The sequence below is a fragment of the Homo sapiens genome, chromosome 15 (assembly GCF_000001405.40).
Source record: "Homo sapiens chromosome 15, GRCh38.p14 Primary Assembly".
In the NCBI taxonomy this organism is placed as follows: Eukaryota; Metazoa; Chordata; class Mammalia; order Primates; family Hominidae; genus Homo; species Homo sapiens.
The window spans coordinates 23475213-23488673 of NC_000015.10; the positions used below are offsets into that span (position 1 = coordinate 23475213).

The window sequence follows — 13461 nt, forward strand, 5'->3', positions numbered from 1 at the left end:
GATACTCTATTTTGATGGTTGTTTGCATGCATGCGTGTGTGTGTGTGTGTTTGTGTGTGTGTGTGTTCTGTGTGTGTGTGAGAATATAGTCATGGGAAATCAGAATTCAATCCCAGAATGCAGCCTGCTTGGGTGCACTCTTCAAAAGTAGTCTGAATATAATTAGGAGCCAATGGAACAAAGGAAAGTGATATTCTTTTGTAATGCTGTTTGGCTGCAGTGTTCTTTGCAGTCTGGAAAGTTTTGGACTCTCCATGGGTCTTTGAAACATCGTGCTGTATTACAGTTGGGTTCATTTTGCTGCTGAACAGGAAAGTGAGATGGAGCTCTGCATATGCAGGCTTTGATGCTGTTGTTCTCAACAGGGTCAGGCCTGGTGATTATGTGATGTCCTTCTTTGGTGTGTTTGACCCAGTGTTGTTTGGAGTCTGAGGAGGTTTGGCCTTAAAAAATCAAACTACCATGGAAACTGCTTTACCCAAAATTTTGTTTCCCAGCCTTCACAAGATTGCCTACTGGGGAGAGTTTAGTTATGTGAACATATTCATAAACTGGTGAGTTTGTAATGCTACCTTACAGCTAGAATTCTGAGGTCAAAGGTATTGAATCTTTGTATGTCTGTATATGTTTCTGGATATTATGTGTTGTTTTTATAAGGTACCCAATTGACTTATAAGTAAAAGATCACTCATAAGTTAAGTAAATAAGTCCAAGCATTTAAAAAGTTCATTTGACATCGGTAAATCTTTACTAAACAAGATGGCTTTAAGATTCTTGGTAAAATAAAAATGCTTTTGAAATTGTTGGCATACATTTTTGCCTGGATTTTATATTTGTCTCTGCTAGGTATTTTAAGGTGTCAGGGTTTGGCACAAAAGTTTATAAGATTGTAAACCCAGCCAAGAGGAAAATGATCTGTGTTTGCGAGATTTTTTTGAGAAATAAGTCTAATTTAATGAGGCTGGTTTAATAAAAGCCACTGAATCTTCTGAGTTATTAGCAATGATGTCCATTAGTTAATTTTAAGCCTCTTACTTAGGTAAAGATTTAATATGTGCAGGTCATAAGGATGGTGAAGAAGAAAATAACTACATTTTTCTGATATCTCAGTTCTCATAAATAATCTAGATAAACTGCTAAAAATAAATAAAATATAGATGAGATAATTACTGTAGGTGACCTTTTTGTGTAATTTAAAGTATTGAAATTGTTTTGGATGCAAATCCAAACATATCTGGGTCATTTCAAATTAAGAAAATTATGATATGGGGAAACATTTTAAAAAAAAAAAATTGTTAAATCGTCTAACCTGCAAAATGCTAATATCTGATAGACAGTTCAGGATTTTTTGCTTCCTAAATATTGCAGTAAAATTTAAGGTTACCAAGAATAAGAATTCTAGTTATTATACAATCCTGTATATAAAATATGCTAAAAAGATATGTTTGTATTGAAAAAAATAATTTTGTCTAATTCAAAAGTTATTCAAACTATAGACTTGAGAGGACTATTTATGAACCAAGGTAAAAAGGAAGCTGTAAATAGGGGAGAGAGATGTAAAAAGATTAACATCGGCCCTTTTTGCTAGAGCAAGGCTTCCTTAAAATATTGATTTGTTCTTGATAAAATTACAGGAAGTTTTTATTTTGATTCTATACTCTTGCTACTTTTTGAAAACTTCTCAAATTCCTATATCAGAAGTGCAACTTTGCTGTGTCTTGCTGCTTTCAGCTTTTATTCTCCACTTAAAGAGGCCTCAGATAATAATAATTCTCTTTGTTTTTTTGAGACGGAGTCTCGCTCCGTCACCCAGGCTGGACTGCAGTGGTGCGATCTCGGCTCACTGCAAGCTCCACCTCCCGGGTTCACGCCATTCTCCTGCCTCAGCCTCCTGAGTAGCTGGGACTACAGGCGCCCGCCACCACGCCTGGCTAATTTTTTGTATTTTTAGTAGAGATGGGGTTTCTCCGTGTTAGCCAGGATGGTCTCAATCTCCTGACCTCGTGATCCACCCGCCTCGGCCTCCCAAAGTGTTGGGATCACTGGCGTGAGCCACTGGGCCCGGCCAATAATTCTCTCTTACAAAGGTTTCATAGGCTTCTGTAATGTTTTTCCTTTGGTTCTAGCTGCTGTTGTGGCCTGATGCTGAAATGTTTACCTCGAATGTTTATCTAGAAAAGCAATGTTTTCCTCTAGGATAACTTGATTCTGTACTCTTGGCTTTTCTTGATATGTCTAAGTTTTTTATCAGGTTTTGAGACAGCCAAGTGTAAAGGGGTCCCCGGAAAAATTCCAGCCAGGTGGTGCACTGGGTGGACTGCGCACTGGGAGGACTCCACACTGGGGTGGAGCCACAGAAGTTTGTGCCCTTCATAGTCGGGGGGAGCCTGGCCCCTCCGCCTCTGGGTGGAACCTGAGATTCATCTGCAAGGCAGGAAGCAAACTAGCAGGACTCTGGCTTTGTGGAGGGTCCCTGTTTCCGCTTTTCTCCCAATAAATTCCATTTTTTTCTCACCCTTCAAAGTGTCTGCAAGCCTAATCTCTCATGGCTGTGTGACCAAAACCCGGCTCTTAGCTGAACAAAAGAAAAAGTCCTGCAACAGCTTTGTTGCCCAGAACATGGGGCTTGAGAAGGGGTGAGGGAAGTGGGTATTCAAAACTTCTCACTATTGCTTCCGAGCCTTTTGGTCCTGTGGCATTCTTCTTCTCTTTTTTAGTAATGGCACCTCTTTTTTCTTTTACAATACTGGAAGGGGTTCACATCCACCCCAACATCCACAGGTGTGCTGGTGAGATAGGCGGGGCAGCTCTATGCTCCCGCTTTCCTATCAGCTGGGGTGCATGGCCTTATCTGCCACATGTCTGCATGGTGTCCAAACATGGACCTGCAAGGCGGGAATCAGCCACAGTGGCTGTCTGGGCCCCAAGGCGCCCCACGAGGCTGGCTGGCGTTCCCTGCCACATCCCCTGGCCAGGGAGGCCAGCTCTTTTTCACAGCAATTAAGCTTTTCTCCCTGATGGAGGAACCAGTTACATGAGAATAAGAGGTTCTTCCCCCAGGAATCCTTTTTTCTTTCTTTTTTATTTTTATTTTTATTTATTTATATATTTTTTTGAGACGGAGTCTTGCTCTGTTGCCCAGGCTGGAGTGCAGTGGTGCCATCTGGGCTCACTGCAAGCTCCGCCTCCCGGGTTCACACCATTCTCCTGCCTCAGCCTCTGGAGTAGCTGGGACTACAGGTGCCTGCCACCACACCTGGCTAATGTTTTTGTATTTTTAGTAGAGATGGGGTTTCACCATATTAGCAAGGATGGTCTCGTTCTCCTGACCTCGTGATCTGCCCGCCTCCACCTCCCAAAGTGCTGGGATTACAGGCGTGAGCCACCGCGCCCGGCCGGGAATACTTTTTTCTTCTCCACCCTGTCAGCAGTTAACTTTTAAAGGAGTTTCTTTTTTTTCTCTCTCTCTCTCTCTTTTGGAAGACATTTTACTAGGGTAGGAATGATAAGGATCCCTGTTTATTTTCTCTGTAAAGTTTTGGTTGTGTGAAAGGATCTTGTGGGGACTGGGTTTTCTCCTGTCTGTCTGTGTAATTGTATATGTGTGTTGTATGTAATGTCTATAAAAAATCGCTAATTAATTTGGCCAAAAGGAAGACAAGCACTGGGTCAAATTTTTTTTTTTAAAGGGAAGATAAAAGCTATGGTAGCTTTCCATGTGACTTTAATCTTTGAGTGATAAAAAGAGCCTTAAAGATTATTGGTAAAATGCAGGTGTCTTTAAAATATAAATAGGTGGACTAAATTATGCAGGTCAGATGCAAGGTTTGCTAAGTGTTTTAAGGTTATAAACTGCTTTTTGGGTTTTGAGAACTATTTGACTTCCCTGCTGTACAACTGGTAAGTCCTGGGGACATATAGAACTAACCGCACTTTCAATTATGCTGGAAGGAGTAAAACCTTGGCTGCACCAAGCACAAAATTAAAACAACTTACCAGGTTTTACGTTTAAGTTAAAATTGCTAGGAGTTACCATTATAACATATAATTGAAACTACTGGAAATAGATTTACATGTGAGGTGTGTGAGAACAGTAAAATGTGTTTTTAGTAAAAGGTTATAAAAAGGCATGAAAATGTAAATTTTTGCCTAGGGTTAAAGGATTGTTTTTAATGGTCAAGGAAACTTATTTTGAACTATTTGTGGCTTTTAATAATTGTGTAAAGTAGACTCCTCTGAACAAAATTTGGAGCATGTTTGTTTCTCTCTGGCTGGTTCCTCCAGAGATTGGAAACTATCTGGGAGTATTCTTAACTTATGGCAATATAGTTGTTTGCCTCAGTGCAATAAGAATCCATTTTTCTTTTGCAACATGACACAATTGGAGAAACTGGTTATTTTGCCAAAGCTTTGACTGGAAAGGTATGCTTCCCTTTAAGGAGTCAATCTCAACTTGCAGAGCCAATAAAACCTCTTGGGGACACTGGCCTGATACCCTTGCCTACACAGTCCCTGTACAGGGTTCCTGACCTGTGGTCAGTAAAGAATGTCACTTTCTAACAGGTCCAGGAGCACCAAGTTTATCTTGGGACCCTAAGAGGAGAGGATCACCCAACTAACAGGTATTTGAGGATACAAACCCATGGCTGGGCTTGGCTTTAAAAGACCTTTTATCTGAGACTCCTTGTGCAACAGAGTTCCTTCAAAGATGGTCTAAAAGGCCTATGTAGAAATAGTTATTCTTGTTGCACTTTATGCAAATAATCAGGCCAAGTATAAGACCAAAGTCTATTTTGCAAACCACTCAGTCCTGTGATCATTTGTTTTTTAACAAAAATGAGGACTGGAGAGAGAAATTATGATTCAAAACTTATACATTTGTCATTAAATTCTAAAATCATTAGTTGTTATTAAGTTTTGCCTACGTTTTAGACTAACTCTACTTGTTCCTGTTAACCAACCAGAAATCTCCAGCTGCAGCTCAGAAAGAACAAGAGAGATGGGTAATGTAAAAATCTGGATCAATAATAGAGTTCTGAGCAATTATCCTGCAAATCCTGGGAATAAATAGGGTGCCCATCACCCAGAGGTTTCTTTTTTGGGAAAGTAAGACCAAGGGAGCTAACCAAAGGCAAGCACCATGCATCCCAATCCTAGCAAGCATAACTATAGCTACCAGTTATCTGGGTGTGGTTTGTAGTTTTCTTTTTTGGTTATATCCTCTCCTGGTTTTGGTATTAGGGTGATGCTGGCTTCATAGAATGAACTAGGGAGGGTTCCCTTTTTCTCTGTCTTGTGGAATAGTGTCAAAAGGATTGATACCAATTATTCTTTGAATGTCTGGTGGAATCCTGCTGTGAATCTGCTTGGTCCTGGACAATTTTTTGTTGGTAATTTTTAAATTACCATTTCAATCTCACTGCTTGTTATTGGTCTGTTCAGGGTATCTAATTCTTCCTGATTTAAGCTAGGAGGGTTGTGGTTGTATTTTTCCAGGAATTTATCCATCTCTTCTAGGTTTTATAGTTTATGTGCATAAAGGTGTTCATAGTAGCCTTGAATGATCATTTGTATTTCAGTGGTGTCACTTGTAATGTCTCCCGTTTTGTTTCTTATTGAGGTTATTTGGATTTATCTTTTGTATATGTTTGTTGTTGTTATTTCAATTTCATTTAGTTCTGCTCTGATCTAAGAAGAAGTTCACAGTCAGCTACAGTCCAAAACTAACTGTTTTAGGGAAGTTTATGAAAAAGATTCTTTTTTTTTTTTTTGAGATAGAGTCTTGCTCTGTCACCCAGGCTGGAGTGCGGTGGCGTGATCTCAGCTCACTGCAACCTCCGCCTCTCAGGTTCAAGCAATTCTTCTGTCTCAGCCTCCCGAGTAGCTGGGATTACAGCCATGTGCCACCACGCCAGGGTAATTTTTGTGTATTTTTAGTAGAGACGGGCTTTCACCATATTGGCCAGGCTGGTCTCAAACTCCTGACCTTGTGATCTGCCCGCCTCAGCCTCCCAAAGTGCTGGGATTACAGGCTTGAGCCACCGCGCCCGGCTGAAAAAGACTCTTGAATGCAGGTTTCTGATTACTTTGAAGACTTTGGAGTAGAAAAAAGAAAACTTCCAGGACTCTAATTAAAAGGCGGATAGGTTCAAAAGGAGCTAATCCAGTCAGACAAAAACCCAAGTTAATTGCATGCTCTAAACTAATACAGGATGAAAATAATTTTATGGATTTTTTAAAATTTGCTGATTCTTTTTGTTTTAAGAGTTAAAAATGCTTTTTTTTGAACTACGTATTACCTGTAACAATTTAGTAGAATATACTCTTGTAAATAAAATTTGAAGCATCTCTCTCTACCTGATTTCTCCAGATTTTGAAAACCATTTGTGAATATTTTTAATTCATGGAAATATAGTTATTTTATAAATTAATTAAAATCTGTTTTCTTTTATAACAGGACGCAATTGAAGACATTGGTTATTCTACCAAGGCTTTGACTGAAATGACATATATTTTGGTAAGAGAAGATCAATTTGAGAAGTGGAAATTGACTTTATAGACCTGATAAATCTGCGTGGAAAGATTGGCCTGGTACTTTGTTGAAATGGTTTTCTTTTCTTTTCTTTTTTTTTTTTTTTTGAGATGGAGTCTCACTCTGTCGCCCAGGCTGCAGTGCAATGGTACGATCTCAGCTCACTGCAATCTCCGCCTCCTGGGTTCACGCCATTCTCCTGCCTCAGCCTCCTGAGTAGCTGGGACTACAGGTGCCCACCACCACGCCTGGCTAATTTTTTGTATTTTTAGTAGAGACGGGGTTTCACCATGTTAGCCAGGATGGTCTCGATCTCCTGACCTGGTGATCCGCCTGCCTTGGCCTCCCAAAGTGCTGGGATTACAGGCGTGAGCCACCGTGCCCCGCCTAGATTCATCTTTGATTCCTGATTGGCAACCTAGTCACCCATGATGTAGAGTTGCAGCTGTGCTGCATGCAATTATTAACAATAAAAGTTACCAACACAATTTAGAAATAAATTCAACTCCTAGGGAGTTGGTTCACTGGATGCATAAAAATGTAAACAAATAAGGAAAAAGTGAAATATTCAGTCTCTTGGTTATTGTTATCCGTAAGAGCTAAAGTAAGAGTGCTGAGTTGGACCCTGAAGCCAGACCAAATTCAGACATGGGTCTGTCTGAACTGAGATCACTAGTTTCAAGGCTACCCACAAAAGGGGGAAATCATGCCAGGAAACCAGAATGTACCTCTGAGACCTGTGGTTTCTAACAAGGTAGTCAATGTCAGGGAAGGGCAAAAACAAGTAACTACTGAAACTGGAGGGTATAATGTTTTTTAAAAAATGTTCCATTTTATACATTGGTATCATCAGCTTCCTGAGGAAACTTTACTAAAATTGATTGTAATATTGGAGCAATGTCTTTGGTTTTAAACATTGCAGAATGGAAGAGCATGTTTTGGTTGATGCATGACCCGCACCTGACTACTGAATTGTTGCAGATGGAGATATATGTATATGTATGCGTGTGTATGTGTGCATGTGTCTATATATGTGTGTGTGTATATATATATAATGTGTATATATATGTTGCAGATGGAGATGTGTGTATATATACATTCATATATATATTCATTCCAGACACACAGGAGGTTATTTCTGAGAGAAAGCCAGCCTGGTGGACTAGATGAAAGTCACTGTAAGATCTGTTGATCCTGAGAAGAGGAATTGCACAACTCCACCTGTCAATGCCAAGTGGAGCACCCAGACGACGCAGCTGATAGACTTCCTATGCAAGCCATGGGGGATTAGCCTGATGACAGGAATATTAACCTTACTTTTTGACTTTTGGGTTTCGGCTATTAAGTTGTTTAAAAGGGTTTTAAGAATTAATGGGTGCCTACCCACCTTCATTCCTGTCTGGCCTAACATGTTTACTTGGATATAAGTCTTTTCACTCTAAGTCTCTTGGCCATAGGTAGTCTCATTGAGAGACAAGTTGGACTCAGGCCAATAGCCACAGCAACTTGGCAATAATATGGTACAAAATAAAAGCTTTGCCATGATGCTCTCTCTTGCATGTCTTGACCATGAGGGGTCAGACTAAAATAAAGTTCTAAGTGCCCCACTGACTGAATGGACCTACTTGTGCCAAAGGGACCACAGTTGTCAAGACACAACCTTACCTAGGAATAGGTCTTTTCTCTTGCTTTGCTGAAGATACAATAGTCCCCCTAAAGTGAGTTGCCTCTTCCCCTTCAAAACATTTTATGAGAGACTACTTCTCTGAACTCCCCGAGACTTGTGGATTTTTATCATATATAAAACAGTTAAAAATATACTGACTAGTCTTCCTGAATTTGCTTCTGAAAGGCTCCAGTTTCCTAAAGATGTGCCTCTTCACTCTTTAACACCAGGAACCAAGTCCTGCTGAAGACCTGAAAATCCCACCTGGGTGAAGGCCAGCTGCAGCCACAATGGCCCAGTCCTTTTGAGATGCTGCTGATCACCCCCTCATCTGTCAAGTTAGCCAGCATTAAACCATGGATTCATCACACTTGGTTAAAACCTGTCCCTCTGGGATCCCTACAGGAAAAACAATCACAGTCTTATAAACCTCAGTGATTGGCTTTCTGTAAGGCAAACAGTCACAGGATTTGTGTATGTGATTTTTAGCAAGTTCAGCCCTGTAGCTACTGCAGATGAGAGTCTTTTTAAGAGCACAGATAAATTTTTCTAGTTGTTTACGCTGCACTTGAGCTAGGAATTCTAATCCCTGATGTCACTCTTTCAGCACTTTGTCCGGTAACTTTAGAAACAACCAGCCAACCTCATTAATCATGTGTCACTTAACAATGGAGATACATTCTTTCAAATGTGTTCTTAGGTGATTTTGTTCTTGTGTGACATCATAGAGTGTACTCACACAAACCTAGATGGCATAGCCTACTACAAACCTAGGCTGCATAGTATAGCTTATTGCCCCTAGGCTACAACCTGCAAAGCATGTTACTATATTGAATACTGTAGGCAATTGTAACACAATGTTAAGTATTTGTGTATCTAAAAATGTCTAAATATAGAAAAAGGAATGCATTGCACTATGACCTTATGACAGTGTATCACTAGGCAACAGAAGTTTTTTAGCTCCATTGTAATCTTATGGGGCTACTCTTATATATGTGGTCTGCTGTTGATCAAAACCTCATTATGTGGCACATTGCTGCATATTTGTTGTTTCTCCAAAAGTGTTCAGAATTATATGCGCATTGATACAGCTTCTTGCTTCTTCTAAGTGTTTGATTAGTAGTATCCAATGAAGATATTTGTATATCTCTATTGCCAGATCATGCCATAGACTATCTGTGTTTTCTTTACTACTATAAATAGAGTGATTGGTGTCTTTAATCAGATTAGAGGGTCAATTCCAGAAACCCCAAAATCAATTTAGAAAACTCATTCTTAAAATTCTGTTCCTCCAGAACCACTCTTGTTACAAAAATCAGTGTTCTCCACAGAAACAGAGCCAATAGGAGATAGATTGGATGTATGGATAGATAGATAGATAGATAGATAGATAGATAGATAGATAGATAGATAGATAGATTAGACAGATAGATAGATATACAAGATTGCAGTCCTGTGTACTGGGAGACCTGATGGTATAAATTCCAACCTGCGTCTGAAGGCAGAACAAGACCCATGTCCCAGCTTAAAGACCTGCTGGGAGAGAGTGAATTTGCTCTTGATCATCTTCTTGTTTCTGTTCAGGACTTCTTGGATTGTATCAGGCCCACCCACACTGGAAAGCACAATCTTCTTAGTCACCAATTCAAATGTTTAGCTCATCCACAAACATGCTCACAGACGCACCCAGAATAATGTTTAACCAAAAATCACAACTCATGATTCAGTCTAGCTGACACATGAAATTAATTCTCACATGGATTTAAACTATTTTATTGAATATTTGGTCCCATGCTGGAATAATTTTGCATTAACCTGATCATTACTGACATTGAGTGCATTTTCATATGTTTATTGACATTTCAATATGTACTTTTGTGATGTGTCTACTGGAAAGTCTACATTTTTCTTATTGATTTTAGGAATTTTACAAATATTATGCACATTTGTGGATATATGTATTATAATTATTCTGTGTCACAATGTGTCTTGATTTTTTACTTTCTTTTGATGAAGAGTAGTTATTAATTTTAATAAAATCTAATTTAGCAATATTTTATCTTGATAATGTTTTTGCTACTTTTAAATAAATGTTTGACAAATCCCAATGTCATGAAGATACTCCTCAATGTTTTCTGTGGAGAGAGAAGTTAAAACATATATTGCTGTAATGTGTATTACAATAACTGCACAAAGAAGAGAGAAAATGGAGTGACATTGTGGCAAAGTTGCTGTGTTTCATCAGGCAGATATCATTATAAACCTAAAGAAGTTTGGGATAAGTATAGATGTAGGTATATTCCGAGAACAAATTCTAGGAAAATATGTTGAAAAATAGAATTAGAAATCAACAATTGAACTAAAATAATACGCTACAAATATCTGTTAGTAAAAGGGAGAAAAGAACAAAAATACATGAAAATTACAGAAAGCAGCAATATGGTAGATATAAATCCAATATCAATAATTGTATTATATCAAAAATCATAAATGTTCAGACTAGATTTTTTAAAAAGCAAAGCTGAAGAATATGCTGTCTGCACAAGACATCCTTCAGATTAAATGTCGCAAATAGATAGAAAGTAAAACGATAGAGAATGTGGACCATGCAAACAGTAATGATGGGAGAGGTGAAGCACCTATATGAATATCAGACAAAATACAGTTTAAGACAGTAAATACTACTACAGACAAAGACATTTCTTTTTAATTTCACCTGTTTTTTTAAATTTTTTATTTATTTTTTATTATACTTTAAGTTTTAGGGTATATGTGCACAATGTGCAGGTTAGTTACATATGTATACATGTGCCATGCTGGTGTGCTGCACCCATTAACTCGTCATTTACATTAGGTATATCTCCTAATGCTATCCCTCCCCCCCTCCCCCAACCCCACGACAGTCCCCGGTGTGTGATGTTTCCCTTCCTGTGTCCATGTGTTCTCATTGTTCAATTCCCACTTATGAGTGAGAACATGCGGTGTTTGGTTTTTTGTCCTTGCGATAGTTTGCTGAGAATGATGGCTTCCAGCTTCATCCATGTCCCTACAAAGGACATGAACTCATCAGATATTTCTTAATGATAAATGGTCACACATAGATATAACAATGACAACATCATACATGCTTGAACAAGAGAGTCCCAAAATACATGAAGCACAACTGACAGAATTGAAAGAAGCAATAAAGAGTTTAACAATCACAGTTAGATATTTTAATATATATCCTCTAGGAGTTGATTGAAGAATAGAAATAAAATTAGTAAGGATATAGAATATGTGAACAACACAATAACCCAACTCAATTTGACATTTGTAGCATACAACATCCCCAAACAGCCGAAATACCCATTCTTCCTAAGATAACATGACACATTCTCTGGATAAATCATATCCTAGGTCATAAAACAAGTCTCACCATATTTGAAAGGAGCAATTGTACAAAGTATGTTCTCTGATCACAACATAATTATATTAAAAATAACTAAATTTATTTTGGAAATCATTTAATAATTTAATTACATAGATTTTAATTAATCAAAAATTGCAAGTAAATTAGAAAATATTTTCACTGTAATAAAGATAAAAACAAAATATTACAAACTGTATGAGACACACCTAAGTAGTTCTCAGAGGGAAATTTGTAGCTTTAAATGCTTATATGAGAACAAGTAAAACATCTAAAAATCAATAATATAAGATGCCACATTGTGAAGCCCCAGAATGAGTAGAAAATTAACTTGAAGTAAGTAAAATAAAGGAAAAAATAAATATCAGAACAGAAATCGTCAAAATAGAAAACAGAAAAACAGTTAAAAATATCAAAAAAAAAATCAGTGAAACCAAAAGTTTGTTCTTATCAATGGTTTATTTGGGGGGAGGCAGGATTAAAATATATATAGCTGTAATGCACATGTCAATATACATGTAGCCAAAAAAATGAAAAAATATTCAACATCATTAATCATAATGGAAATGCAAATTAAAACCACAATGGGACACCATCTTACACCAGTCAGAATGGCTATTATTAAAGCATAAAAAAAACCCAACAGATTGTGAGGATGCAGAGAAAAGAGAATGCTTATCCACTGCTGATGGAAATGTAAATGAATGCAACCTTCATAACAGTATAGAGACATCTTAAAGAACCAAAAACAAGACTGCCATTTAATCCAACAATCCCACTACTGGGTATCTACCCAAAGGGAAAGATATCATTGTATCAAAAAGATACCTGCATTTGTATGTTTATCACAGCACTATTCACAATAGCAAAGTCATGGAACCAACCTAAGTGTTCATCAATGAAGGGTTGGAGATATATATATATATATATATATATATATATATATATATATATATTAAATACAAACACACACACACAGAGCATGGAATAATATTCAGCCATACAAAATAAAATCATTCATTTGCAGCAACATGAATGGAATGGGAGGCCATGATCCTAAGTGAAATGACTTAGAAGCAGAAAGCCCAATACTGCGTGTTTTCACTTATTAGCTGGAACTAAACATTGAGTACACATGGACATACAGAGTGAAATAATAGACATGGGAGACTACAAAAGGCGGAAGCATGGAAGAGGGGTGAGGGCTGAAAAATAACCTATTGGGTATGATGTTCACTATTCACATAATGGATGCACTAAAAGCCCAGACTTCACCACTACTCAATATATGCATGTAAGAAATTTGCACTTGTACTCTCTAAATATGTAAAAATAAAAATAATTTGAAATTAAAAAACATTTTTTTTCATAATAAAGTAAAAATCAAATACTTAAGAGGACATTTTTCAAAAAAAAAGAAGTGTGGGACTTGTGTGTTGAAAGCAACGAAACTTGCACAGCAAAATTAAAGATCTAAATAAACGGAGATAAATGCATGAATGTGAATTGCATGACTCGATATTATTAAAATGGCAATTCCCCAGTTGATCTATAGAGGTAATGCAATCACTATCAAAATTTAAGTAGTTTTTGTCTAGAAACTGATGATCTAATTTTACAGTTTATATGGAAATTTAAAGAACCTAGAATAGCTAAAACTATTTTAAAAATAATTCTACTACCTGATTTCAAAACTTACTACAAAGCAATAGCAATCTAGACGAAGTGGTCCCGGCATAAAGATAGACATATAGTGAATGCAATAGAATTGAGTGTTAGGAAAAGCATGGATCATTAACTTCAATATAAGACCTAAAATTATAAAACTTCTAAATAAAAACTTAGTAGAAAATC

General features: G+C 37.5%; 1 long non-coding RNA gene across 1 annotated transcript; it reads left to right on the plus strand.

Moving 5' to 3' along the window:
• The first annotated feature begins 317 nt into the window (after positions 1-317).
• LOC105370729 (uncharacterized) lies at positions 318-8077 on the plus strand. Its single transcript, XR_931978.2, has 3 exons — positions 318-554; positions 6458-6517; positions 7653-8077. It is a non-coding gene; the product is annotated as an uncharacterized LOC105370729 (long non-coding RNA).
• The last annotated feature ends 5384 nt before the right edge of the window (positions 8078-13461 follow it).